We start from the raw sequence: 13,346 nt of genomic DNA on the forward strand, positions 1-13,346 counted from the left end.
TGTCCAGCACCCCAACCGCGTGTCCGGCCCCCCCGCCGCGTGTCCGGCCCCCCCGCGTGTCCAGCCCCCCTGCCGTGTGTCCAGCCCCCCAATGCGTGTCCAGCCCCCCCAACTGCATGTCCAGCCCCGCACCGCATGTCCAGTCTGAAGAATCCCACAGAAGAGCAGCCCGCATGTGGGAACGCACATGCTTTTCTATAACACAACATGGCTACAAAATGTTCACAGCCCTTGAATCTCTGTCATTTCTCAGAAAATACCCTAGGGAAAAGGCCTCAGAGGCCCAAATGTTCTTCTCAACATTATTTTAATCAGGAAATACTGCAAACTATCCCAAAGCCAACTAAAATGGTAGGGCAGAGGGAAGTTTTCTGTAAATGCCACTGGAGAAAGTATCACACGGCCCTCGCGGTCCCAGGGGCTGGGCCAGGGCAGGCTGTGGCCTCCCAGGGAGTTTTACAGATGCTGGATCACAGGGGTGGGCCCATGAGAAGCGGGCGGCGGGCTCCTCCGCCCTCAGACTTGCAAGCACGGACCACGGCCGCCTATGCTGGCAAGACCGCGATCATGCTTTTTCATTTCTCAGGGTTCAGTAATCTGCCTGCATCTCTTCTCCAGCAGCAGCTGCACATTACGCCATGGGGCATCAACTCCGAGGAGCGCTTGGCACGCGCCTTCCTCCTCCCAGCCTGGAATCATCGCCCGGGCCCTTCCCTCTCAGGGCGGGGACCTCTCTAGGGAAAGGAAGGGCTTTCCAGGGCAGCCCCTCCAGCCTGCATCTCCTGGGAGGGCCCCAGAGAGGGCACTGGGCAGCTTCACTTCAAATCGGGGGCATTGGGGCTGAGCCCGAAGCAGGAGGGCAGCAAGGGTCCTGACATTGTGGACTTGGCCAGGGAGGGGCCAGTCCCTCTCAGCCACCCACAGCTACCTGTCCCGAGAGTGTGAGGATTCGGGTCTTTGGTGGGCTCTGGGGAAGGGGCTGCAAGGAAGCGGGCCCAGAACCTGGTGCTGAGGCCCAGGACCCATGCAGGGACGTGGGGCAGGACAGAGAGGGGCAGGGCAGGGGCAGGGACAGGGGCAGGGATGCGGGATAGGACAGGGGTACGGACAGGGATGGGGCAGGGACGCAGGGCAGGACAGGGGCAGGGACGGGGCGGGACACGGGACAGGACAGGCGCAGGGGCAGGGCAGGGATGCAGGGCAGGACAGGGATGAGGGCAGGGACGTGGGGCAGGGACAGGGACGTGGGGCAGGGACAGGGACATGGGGCAAGACAGGGACGGGGCAGGGACGTGGGGCAGGGCAGGGAGAGGGGCAGGGACGTGGGGCAGGACAGAGAGGGGCAGGGCAGGGGCAGGGACAGGGGCAGGGACACGGACAGGGCAGGGATGCGGGGCAAGACAGGGAGGGGGCAGGGATACGAGGCAGGACAAGGAGGGGGCAGGGACTCAGGGCAGGACAGGGCAGGGGCAGAGGCAGGACAGGGACGGTGCAGCCTCCGCTGCTGCCCTCTCGGGGAGCCTGGCTCCCACCCTCACCCAGCCACTGCTCCTGGGCACAGAGCTGAAGGGGAACTGGAGGCTGCGGCGTTCCTCTCTCCGTCCCCCTCTCTCTGGTGACTCATGTGATAACGAACCGACCTTTTGGAGACATTCTGTGCCCTCAACAAAAGCGGCCCCTGTCTGGAAACCCCCCCGAGGAGACTGACTTCCTCCCCTGCTGCCTGGGCTGCGGTAGCTCTTCCGGCACCTGCTCTTCAGGCACCTGCCCTGTGCTGGCCCCTCCTGCAACAATCGGGTAAGGGGACCCAGGACCACAGGGAGGCTCCAGGGAGCCCCGTGGGTGCCTCCAGCAGCCGTCGGGGGTCTCTGTCCCTCACACCTCATCTGTGAGGGTCCCTTGGCAAGGCAGCCCCTCCCGCTTGCCCAGGGTGGCAGGCCGGCTGCCCGCATGCAGAGGCTGCTGGGAGGGTCCCCTCATGCTCTCCCCTCCCCGTCCCCTGCCTACCCAGCCAGGGCTCTCGCTCCCAGCAGCCAACGGTACAGCCCGCCTCGGTCTCTGGGGTGCTAGATACACTCTGCCTGGAGCCCAGGTACTGGAACCTCTGTGCCTGGGCCATGGGGGGCAGATTAAGGGAGGCCCTGCCCCTGGAGCGCAGGTACTGGAACCTCTGTGCCAGGGCCATAGGGGGTGGGTTAAGGGAGGCCCTGCCCTGCCCCTCACCTGTCCCCTCATCTGCACATCCCTCCTTCGTGTCACCTGCACAGGAGCCCTCACCTCAGTCGGCGCTGCAGAACCAGCCCAGGAGAGCAGCTGGCCTGTCATCTGCTGAGGAGCGGAGGCGTGCGGGGATCCGGAGGGGAAGGGGGTCTGGAGTGCTCCGGGGGAGACCCTCAGGGACTGCCCTGCTGCTGGCAGCGCCTGGGCCCACGGCTGATGGAGGCGTCTCCTGGCCCCCAGGGCTGTGCCCAGGACTGCAATGGCCTCCCACACTACCTCACTACCCTGGTCCAGGCTCACTGACAGATGAGGAAACTGAGGCAGGGGCCCTGGTCTCACGGCCATTGGTGCAGAGCTGGGATCCACGACCAGGTGGGCTCTTTGTTATTACTTCCTCCAAGGACAAGCCCAGGTTCTCCAGGGTGTGGGGTCCACGTGTGGCCACAGCGGGCCTTAGAGACAGACAGGCCTGGGTAGGGGGAGGGGTGGGTGGGCAAGGCCTTAGAGACAGGCCTGGCGGGGGAGGGGCCGGGCCTGTGCACTGGCAGTGGTGGCACCACGGGCCCTTGGGGACACCAAGTGAGCTCTTTAAAGTGGCTAAAGTGGTAAACCTTGTGTTTTGTATAGATTCTACCAATTAAAAAAAGGAAATGTGGGCCGGGCGTGGTGGCTCATGCCTGTGATCCCAGCACTTTGGGAGGCCGAGGCAGGTGGATCACCCAAGGTCAGGAGTTCAAGAGCAGCCTGGCCAACAGGGTGAAATCCCATCTCTCCTAAAAAAACAAAACAAAACAAAACAAAACAAAAACAGAATTAGCCGGGCATGGTGGTGGGCACCTGTAGTCCCAGCTACTGGGGAGGCTGAGGCAGAAGAATCACATAAACCCAGGAGGCGGAGGTTCCAACGAACTAGGATCGCACCACTGCACTCCAGCCTGGACAACAAAGTGAGACTCTGTCTCAAAAAAAAAAAAAAAAAGAAAAAAAAAAGGAAAAGAGAAAGAAAAAGAAAAAAAAGTGACAATTCACATAGACCCCTGAAAACCTCTGGGCTTAGGGACAGCAAGAGCCTTCCTGGGGCCTCCTGGACCATGTCGGGGCCTCCGAGGCCTCTGGGACGCCATCCCTGCTCAGCTTCCTCGCTCTCCTTTTGCCCGAGAACAAGCTCTGTTCTGGCCACGGCGTTGTCTACACAACACAGCTAACTGCTTTGCCATCAGCCCTCATACAGATTTAAAACACACACACACACACACACACACACACACACACACACACACACACAAAAGATAAGGTTATGGGCTGCACTGCGTCCCCCAAATTCACAGAGTGAAGTCCCGACTTCAGGATCCGCCTGTATTCAGACACAGGGTCTTTACAGAGGCGACAAAGGTGAAACAAGGTTACCAGGGTGGGCTCTGACCTGACCTACCGGCGTCCTTAAAAGAGGAGGACACAGACACGCAGGAGGGGCGGCCACGCAAGGACACAGGGAGGTGGTGCCGCCTGCCTGCAAGGAGAGGCTTCGTAACAGCCACGCCGCACCTCAACCCGGGACGCCCCCAGGACTGGAGAGAACCCACATCTGCTGTGGGAGCACCTGGCCACGGTGTGTGCGAGGCGGCCCCGGCAAACTCACGTAGACAGGACCCAGCTCCCCCAGGCCATCTTTCAATGGGAGAGGGTGACCCAGTGTTTTCCCAAAACCCAGCACGGTCCCCAGGACGCGTTCCCCACCAGGGTGGGCTGGGCCGGATCACAGCCCAGGCTCCCAGAGACTTCCGGTGCCACATCAGCTCACAGAGCTTCCTGTTTCAGCCCAGATCAGAAACACCATGAGACGCCCAAGGAGGAATATTTTAATACTTCTGCTATTTGGCCTCACCCAAAACCAGAAAGTGCAGGGAGTCGTGAAAATGAAGAAAATGATCAGAACCTGAGGGACCAGGCCGTGCCATCCGAAGACAATCCTGAGATCTCTCTCCGGGCCCTGCCCTGCCCCTCCCTCTCTGCCCCCAGCAGGAGCCCCCTTTTCCCCTGGGGCCAAGAACCCAGGCCACACAGGGTGCAGAAGACCCGCCAGGGAGGCCACAGCAGGGGACAGAAAAGAAGGCCCGTCGCTGGCATGAGGGGTGGCTTCCATGTGGGGAAACTGAGTCAGTAGCAATTCCAGATTGGAGGTCCTAACCAGGTCAGGTATGCGGGTGCCGCACCGTCAGCCAAGACCACAGCCCCACCTCCTCAACAGCTGGGCCCACGCCATCGGGGGGGCGTTCCAAGAGACTTAAAAAAACCATAACCCAACCCCGAGGAGGTGCCCTCTGAGGTGGGGTGTCCCATACTAGAGTCAGGGTGACCTGAGGACAGGCCAGGCACACAGGGCCACCCTGAGTAAAGACGGGGGACCCAGGAGGGCCTGGGACTAGCCAGGATGGTGGCTGCTGTGTTGAGAGGGCATCTGGGACCCCAACCCGCAGCCCCTCGTCTCCTTATGAGCCATGGGGCCTCAGGAAATGCACCCCATTTCGTGCCTCAGTTTCCCTCCTGGGCTGAACTGTGTCCCCCACAGCCATGTGTTGAGGTCCTGACCCCAGACCTGTGAGTGTGACCTTATTTGGAGGCAGGGTCTGCACAGAGGTAACGAGGTTAAAGCAAGGTCAGCTGGGTGGGCCCTGACCCACCCAGACACACAGAGAGAGAACAGGCCACATGACACGGGGCCGAGGCCGTGGCAGTGCTTCCGCCAGCCAAGAAGCACGGAAGACCTCAGGCCACAAAGCCAGGAGCGGCCTGGGACAGACCCCACTCACGGCCTCGGGGGCCAGCCCTGCTCACACCTTGACCTTGGACTTCTGGCACCATAACTGTGGGAGGGTGAATCTCTGGTGGTTTGGGGGCGTGGGGTGAATCTCTGCTGGTTTGGGGGCGTGGGGTGAATCTCTGCTGGTTTGGGGGCGTGGGGTGAATCTCTGCTGGTTTGGGGGCGTGGGGTGAATCTCTGCTGGTTTGGGGGCGTGGGGTGAATCTCTGCTGGTTTGGGGGCGTGGGGTGAATCTCTGCTGGTTTGGGGGCGTGGGGTGAATCTCTGCTGGTTTGGGGGCGTGGGGTGAATCTCTGCTGGTTTGGGGGTGTGGGGTGAATCTCTGCTGGTGTGGGGGTGTGGGGTGAATCTCTGCTGGTTTGGGGTGTGGTGATTTTTTGCCACAGCAGCGCTGGGTTTCCGATACGGCTACAATGCACATCTGCAGCAACTGCTAAATGAGGTAAAATACGTACAGAGCCAGCACGTGGTAGGCACGCCCTCAGAAGAAGTAGTGGGAGCAACAGGGCCCTGGAAGGTTCCAGAAGGCCTAAAAGATGGGAGAAGAATGTGAGCCGAGCTCTGGGATGGACCAAAGAATTCCAGAAGGGGTTGGAGCACCAAGTCTGACCTGGGGGGCTCCTCTGAGCAACCCCAAACCTCCCAGACACCCACGAGCCGCCTTGGCTCTGGGCCAGCACTGACCCCGACTGCTGACGAATCGAGGGCCCGCCAGCCCCGTGCACTCGCTCGGAGCCGCGCAGGTTTACAGCATGGTCCTGTGTGTGACTGCACTTGGTCCTCGGAAAATTCGGAAGGTGTGTCCCAGCCGCAGCCTGAGGACCGGCAATGTGGGCGTCCCACAAGCCACACGCCACATGGCAGGAGCAAACTGCCAATCCTCCCCTCTGCCCACCAGGCAGAGGCGGGAGCCGGGACAGCCAGAGCGCCTGATAGCCCTGGACTGCCACCACCACAGGAGCGGGAGCACCCGGCCAGCTGCAGGCTTAGAGACGATGCCCTCCCGGCTCCTGCCGGCCACAGGCTCCGCATTCGCCATAGAAAGGCTCTGCTGCATTCAGCACCCAGCCCGTGTCTCTAAATGACTGGCTGCTGTTTGTTTTTCTTGTGGCTGCAGTGGTTTTCTAAGAAGGTAACTCACACTGCAAGGCAGTAAAAATAGTTACCATTCATGCCACACCTGCAGGCTGGGGCCTACCGGACCTGGTCCCAGAGGCTTACACATGTGCACAGATACACATATCACACATGACTATGTGCAGACGTGTGCACACACACCTGCCTGCCCACAGGTGCGCTGCACACCCGCACACACACATGCACGGATACACACATCACACGTGCCTATGTGCACACCTGCACACGCACGGATACACACGTCACACGTGCCTATGTGCACACCCGCGCACGCATGCAGTTCAAGTCCTTGCAAGCCCCATGAGCAGGTGTCCTCAGCCCCTTTCTCTGGAGCCGCCGCGGGCACATGATTTGTCTGAGGTCCCATGGCAGGAGAGTCAGCTGCTGAGCTGGAATCAGGAACTAGGCCTGGCTGGCCAACACTGCTTGTCTGGGCAGTGAAACTCATTCCTCATGAGGCCCTCCAGGCGACTCGGTGGCCTGGCCGTGGGAAGAACGCCTTGCCCCGCCTTCCCCTCGCCCCCACCGCAGCACCAGCCAGGGTGCTGCGCTCCTCTCGCTGGGGACCTGCCAAGTCATCACCAGAGATGGAATCTGCCCCGTCAGACGTCCATACCACGCCCCCAGGGCCCTGAGATCAGGTCCCCAGGAGGAGCGGGGAAGGGACTGGCTGGAGCCCCGGCAGTCCTGAGCTCCACGAGAGCAGGGTCTGCCCGCTCAGGGAGGTCTGTCCTTTTGAGGCCAGGCACCCAGTCCTGGTCGTCCGGGTCCACCCAGGATGACCCTGCCCTGTTCCTGCTTCTCCCAAGCACCCGTGACCCTGGGAAGCCTGTCACAAACACCTCCCTGGACAATCCACGCTACAGAGTGCCCTGCTCCATTCCCACCACAGCCTCAGGCAGCACTGGCACCCACAGCAGAGGCCACCCTCACAATCTCACACTTCAGGAGCCCAGATGGGATGCTAGCCAGGTTCCCTAGAGGTGGCTTTGCCGGCCCAGGCAGCCCCATCTCTCCGGGACCCCACTGCTCCCCGGGTCCAGCCCGGACCCTGCAGTCGGCAGTGGCTCCATAAAGAAGTAAAATGAGAATATGCACGGGGCCCACACTTAGGGGACTCGTGTCACATGGTGTCCAGCATGGCTCGTGGGTGAGGACAGCAAAACCACCAAGAAATGACCCGAGAGGCCAACAGCAGCTCCCCGGGAAGGCCTGGCAAGAAATCCCCACAACCACCTCACATCCATTATCAACAAAAACAGTGACAAGTGTCGGCGAGGATGTGGGGAAACCGGAAGCCTTGTGTAGCGCTGCTGGGTTGGAAGATGGCGCAGCTGCAGGGAGAGCAGGAAGGCAGTTAGTTCCTCAAGTCAGAACGAGCACATGACGCGGCAATTCCACTTCCAGGCGTGGGCCCAGCAGAACCGAAAGTGAGTCTCAGAGAGACACCTGGCGCCCATGTTCACGCCAGCATTATTCATACCAGCTAAAACACGGAAGCAGCCCGAGCGTCCATCGCCAGAGGAATGAACACACAAAATGTGGCCCACGCACACGATGGAATATTTTTCAGCCATAAGAAGGAAACTCTGACACACGCTGCAACACAGATGGGCCCCGAGAACATGACGCTAAGTGAAATTGAGAGATTTTGTTAGTGGCTTGAAACCATCATTGTATTTGCTCACAATCCCGTGAGTCAGCCGTTTGGTTTGGGCCGGTCTCCTGGCCTGGTCTACCCAGGCTGCCCCCACCCCTGAAGCCACTTGGTGGTTAGTGCCGGCCAATGACCCCATGGTGCACACCTGGTCGACTTCCCAGGTTCCAGTTCCTCCCCTCTAGGACAGCCGCTGGGCCTCAGGGTCGGGGTGACTGAGGCTGACGGAGATGGCAGTCTCTTCCACGGCTGTGCCCAGGGAGGCTGCCAGGCACCCATCTACGCAGCAGCACAGTCTAAAGCCAGCCAGCCCCTCCCTCGGCCCCCACCCATGCCTTTCTCACCACGGCTGGAGGCCCCAGGAAAGCAACACAGACACGGGGGTAGGGAGCACTTCCAGACCCAGCAGGAGCCTGGAAGGCTTCCGCAGCCACACCTCTTCCACAGCCACACCCCTTCCCCAGCCACATCCCATTCCTGCAGGGAAACGCTTGCAGCAGCTGGGGTGAGTCCTGGAACTGTCTCCCCTGCTGGGTGCCTGTCCAGGCACCAAGTCCTGCTTGTGTTTTAGAGCAGGCTAAAAGCGGTATCATGCCCAATCTACACCTAGGCATTTGGTATTGAAACTGCAGAAAGTTAAAGAAACAATCTTGAAAGAAGCCAGCAGCGGGTGGGGAGGAACACCTAAACTACAGACAAAGAATACATTCATTTCTTATAGAATTAGTTTTGACTTTACAGAAACTGTGCAAGTAAAAATACAGTGGACTGAAATATTTAAAGTGTTGAGAAAAAATCCACAAGCCTAGAATTCTGTATCCAGCGAAATTATCCTTCAAAAGTCAAGGAAAAATAGACTTAGACAAAAATTGAGAATTTGTTACTAGTAGACCTGCTTTGCAAAAGGTGTTAAAAGTTCTTTAGAGAGGAAAAAAAATGTACAAGTCAGAAACTTGGATTTACATAAAGAAAGGCACGAGTGATCGAGAAGGAATAAGAAAGGTAATAAAAGCTTTTATTTTTCTTACTCTTTTTTTTTTTGAGACAGGGTCTTGTTCTGTCACCCAGGTTGGAGTGCAATGGTGTAATCACTGCAATCTTGATCACCTGGGCTCAGGCGATCTTCCCACCTCAGCCTCCCAAGTAGCTGGGACCACAGGTGCACACTACCATGCCCAGCTCGTTTTTTAATTTTTGGAGAGATGGGCTCTCACTATGTTGCTCAAGCTGGTCTTGAACTCCTGGCCTCAAACGATCCTCCCACCTCAGTCTCCCAAAGTGTTGGGATTATAGGTATGAGCCACAATGCCTGGCCATTAATCTTAATGGAACAGACAGAAGTTTGTTAAAGTTATAACAATGTACTTGATTATATATGCTTATGTATAAGTGAAACTAATAATAGCAGTGATACAGGGGACAGGAGTGAAGAATTGGGAACATACTGTTATTAAAAGATACTTTTGGTGGGGCACAGAGGTTCACGCCTATAATCCCAGCATTTTGGGAGGCCAAGGCAGGTGGATTGCTTGAGCCAGGAGTTTGAGGCCAGCCTGGGCAACGTGGCAAAACCCCGTCTCTATAAAAAATACAAAAATTAGCTAGGTGCTGTGGCATGCGCCTGTGGTCCCAGCAACTCAGGAGGCTGAGGTGGGAGGACCGACTGAGCCAAGAGTTCCAGGATGCAGTGAGCCGTGATCACACCACTGCACTCCAGCCTGGGCGACTGAGCAAGACCCTGTCTCAAAAAACAACAAAACAAAAAATACTTGGGCTACCGATTAGCAAGCAGTTCAGTGTTATTTGAAAGTGGGCTTGAAATAGTTGGAAATGTGTATCACAAAATCTAGGGTAACCACTGAAAATGTGAAAAAGTATAATTGATGTCTAAGAAAGAATAGAAAATAAAATCATAAAATGGTCAATTAAAACCACAAAAGGCAGAAAAAATAAAAAACAAAAACAAAAAATAGAAAATAGGAACAAACATGGTAGATATTAATCCAACTATATCAACAGTGACTTTGAATGTCAGTGGTATAAATGCACCAATTAAAAGACAGAGATTGTCAAAACGGATCAAAAAATAAGACCTAACTATATGTTATCTACACAAAACCCACTTTAAAAATAAAAACAATGGCTGGGCGCAGTGGCTCACGCCTGTAACCCCAGCACTTTGGATGGCAGAGGCGGGCGGATCACTTGAGGTCAGGAGTTCGTGACCAGCCTGGCCAACACGGCAAAACCCCATCTCTACTAAAAATACAAAAATTAGCCAGGCGTGGTGGCTTGTGCCTGTAGACCAGCTACTCAGGTGGCTGAGGCAGGAGAATCACTTGAACCCGGGAGGCGGAGGTTGCAGTGAGCCATGATCTCATCACTGTAGAGATGGGTGGCAGAGCAAGACTCTGTCTCTAAATAAATAAATAAATAAATAAATAGACACATGTAGATTAAAAGTAAATGAACAGAGGAAGAAATACCATACTCACATTAATCACAAGAAAGCTGGAATAGCTATATTAATTTCAGAGCACACTTCAGAGCAAAGAAGCTTATCAGGAATAAAAGGAGTTATGCATAATAAGGGGTGTGGAATATCTTTCCATTTTACCTCTTTGACTTATTAAAGTTTTATAATTTTCCTCACAGATCTTGTAAATATCTTGTTAGATTTCTACCTAAGTTGTGTGTTTCAGAGTTGCTATGTCTTCCTGGAGAGTGTGGCATTCCCAGGGAGCTGCTGTTGGCCTCTCGGGTCATTTCTTGGTGGTTTTGCTGTCCTCACCCACGAGCCATGCTGGACACCATGTGACAGGAGTCCACTAAGTGTGGGCCCCGTGAATATTCTCGTTTTACTTCTTTATGGAGCTGCTGCTGAATCAGGGCCTGGGCTGGACCCAGGGAGCAGTGGGGTCCCGGAGAGATGGGGCTGCCTGGGCCGGCAAAGCCACCTCTAGGGACCCTGGCTAGCGTCCCACCTGGGCTCCTGAAGTGTGAGATTGTGAGGGCGGCCTCTGCTGTGGGTGACAGTGCTGCCTGAGGCTGTGGTGGCAATTGGCGTGGTGCACTCTGTAGCATGGGTTGTCCAGGGAGGTGTTTGTGACAGGCTTCCCAGGGTCACGGGTGCTTGGAAGAAGCAGGAACAGGGCAGGGTCATACCAGGTGGACCAGGACAACCAGGGCTGGGTGTCCGACCTCGCGAGGACAGACCTCCCACAGCAGGCAGACCCTGCTCTCCTGGCGCTCAGGGCTATGGGTACTCCAGCCAGGCCCTCCTGGGGACCTGATCTCAGGGCCCTGGGGGCATGGTTTGGACATCTGATAGGGGCAGATTACAACTCTGAAGACTTGGCAGGCTCCGGACTTACTATAAAGCTACAGTACTCACGACAGGGTGTTGGCAAAACAGACCAGTGAAAGCGGAGAGAGAGCCCAGAAACAAATCCGCATGGAGAGTCAACTGGTCTGTGACAAAGCGGCAAAAGCAATGCAATGGGGCACAGCCTCCACCAAATGGAGCCAAACAACGGGGCGTTCACATTCCCAAAATGAATCCCAACACACACATTCCACCCCTACAGCAATTCACTCAGAATGATCACAGACCTAAATGTGAAATGCAAAACTATCAAACTCCTAGAAGATAACACAGGAGAAAATCTAGATGACCGAGGGTTTGGTGATGAGTTTTAAAAACACAAGACTGAGCCCAGTGGCTCCCACCTGGCATCCCAGCACTTTGGAAGGTTGAGGCAGGAGGATCAGTTGAGCCCAGGAGTTTGGGACCAGCCTGGGCAACACAGTGAGACCCTGTTTCTTTCTTTCTTTCTTTTTTTAATAAGGCGGGGGCGGACCACTATCCAAGAAGAAACCAGTGAGAAACTCGATTTCATTAAGATTAAAAACTGCTCTGTGAAGGCACTGTCAAGAGAATAAGAAGAACAAGCCCCAAACCTGGAGAAAATAACTAGAAATGAGATATCCATGAAAGGATTACGAGCCAAAATTTACAAACAACTCTTACAACTCAACAAAAAGAAAAGGGACAACCAATTTAAAAATAGGCAAAAATTCTGAGCAGATACCTCACCAAAGAAGATACGCAGATGGTAAATAAGCCATGAAAAGGGGCTCAGCATCATATGTCAGTAGGAAATAGCAAATTAAAACAATATACCACTACACACCTATCAGCTGGCCAAAATCCAAAACACGAACACCACCAAATGCTGGTGAGGACGTGAAGCCACAGGAACGCCCATTCATTGCTGGTGGGAACACAAAATGGTGCAGCCACTTGGGAAGACAGTTTGGCAGCTTCTTGCAAAACTCTCACCATATGATCCGGCAATCACACTCCCTGGTAAATCCCCTTTGGGATTTACCCAAAAGAGGTGAAAATGTGTGTCCACACCAAAACCTCCACACCGGTGTTTATAGCAGCTTTATTCATAAATGCCCCAAACTGGGACAAGCCTAAGATGCTCTTGAGAGAGGGTAAATGGATAAACTGTGGTAGAGCCAAACAATGGAATATTATTCGGCACTAAAAAGAAATGAGCTGTCAAGCCATGAAAACACACAGAGGAAATATAAATGCTATTACCAGGCGAAAGGAGTCAATCAGAAAAGGCCACATAGTGCATGAGTCCAACCACATGACATTCTGGAAAAGGCAAAACTGTGGGGACAGTAAAAACCATCAGTGGTTACGGGGGTGGAGGGTGGGGGAGGAACGGGCAGAGCCAAGGGTTTTCAGGTCAATGAAACCATTTTGCATTCTCTGTAAATGGCGGACCCGTGTCCTACATTTGTCCGAATCTACGGAATGGCTAACACCAAGAGTGGGCTCTAACGGATGCCGTGGACTCGGGGTGATGGCGCATCCGTGTGGGTTGGCTGCCTTAATAAATGTGTGCTCTGGCGGGCGGGGGTGTGCGGGGGTGATGGTGAGGGAGGCCGTGCATGCGTGGGGGCAGGGAGTGTGTGGGACTCTCTGTACCTTCTGCTCCATTTTGCCATGAAGCTAAGACTGCACTAGAAAATAAAGTCTATTTAAAACAAAACAGAAAAGGTGATGTTGAGGGAGCCCTAGAGGAAGACGCTGGCCAGCAGTAGGTGGGAGGGGCCTGGGAGAGGGCGGGCACCAAGGTGGGCGTGTCAGGTCCGTGAGCCTTGGGCCTCGCAGCACGCACTGGCCTGCTCATGCCCAGAGCCCACCACCTCAGAGCCCGGGCCTGGCCGGGGAAGGTGGAGGGCACCCATGAGGCCCCCATCCTCTCTCCTGACACTCCCAGTGCAGTGGGGAGACAGATGACAAAGCTGTGATACATGTGTACTCACAGACCTCGAGATCTGTGCAGCGAGTGGCCCAGGGACCCCTCCTCAGCCAGGGCGTGCTGGGAAGTCCTCTCTGCAGAGTGATGCTGAGAGCCGAGAGACAAGGGGAGCCAGTAATACAAAGAGGGGGGCTGGTCGTCCCAGGAGGGAGGGATGGAAGGTGTC

General features: G+C 55.7%; 1 long non-coding RNA gene across 1 annotated transcript, besides 1 other annotated feature; it reads left to right on the forward strand.

Annotated features, from left to right (window-relative positions):
* Positions 1–13,346: part of a sequence alteration artifact (region identified as an assembly artifact by the Genome Reference Consortium. This region falsely duplicates sequence located at GRCh38 chr21:44095806-44253496) that runs on past both edges of the window.
* LOC101928576 (uncharacterized) lies at positions 226–4,155 on the forward strand. The gene is made up of 2 exons (XR_244329.5): positions 226–1,797; positions 2,268–4,155. It is a non-coding gene; the product is annotated as an uncharacterized LOC101928576 (long non-coding RNA).

The sequence above is a fragment of the Homo sapiens genome, chromosome 21, assembly GCF_000001405.40.
Source record: "Homo sapiens chromosome 21, GRCh38.p14 Primary Assembly".
Lineage (NCBI taxonomy): Eukaryota > Metazoa > Chordata > Mammalia > Primates > Hominidae > Homo > Homo sapiens.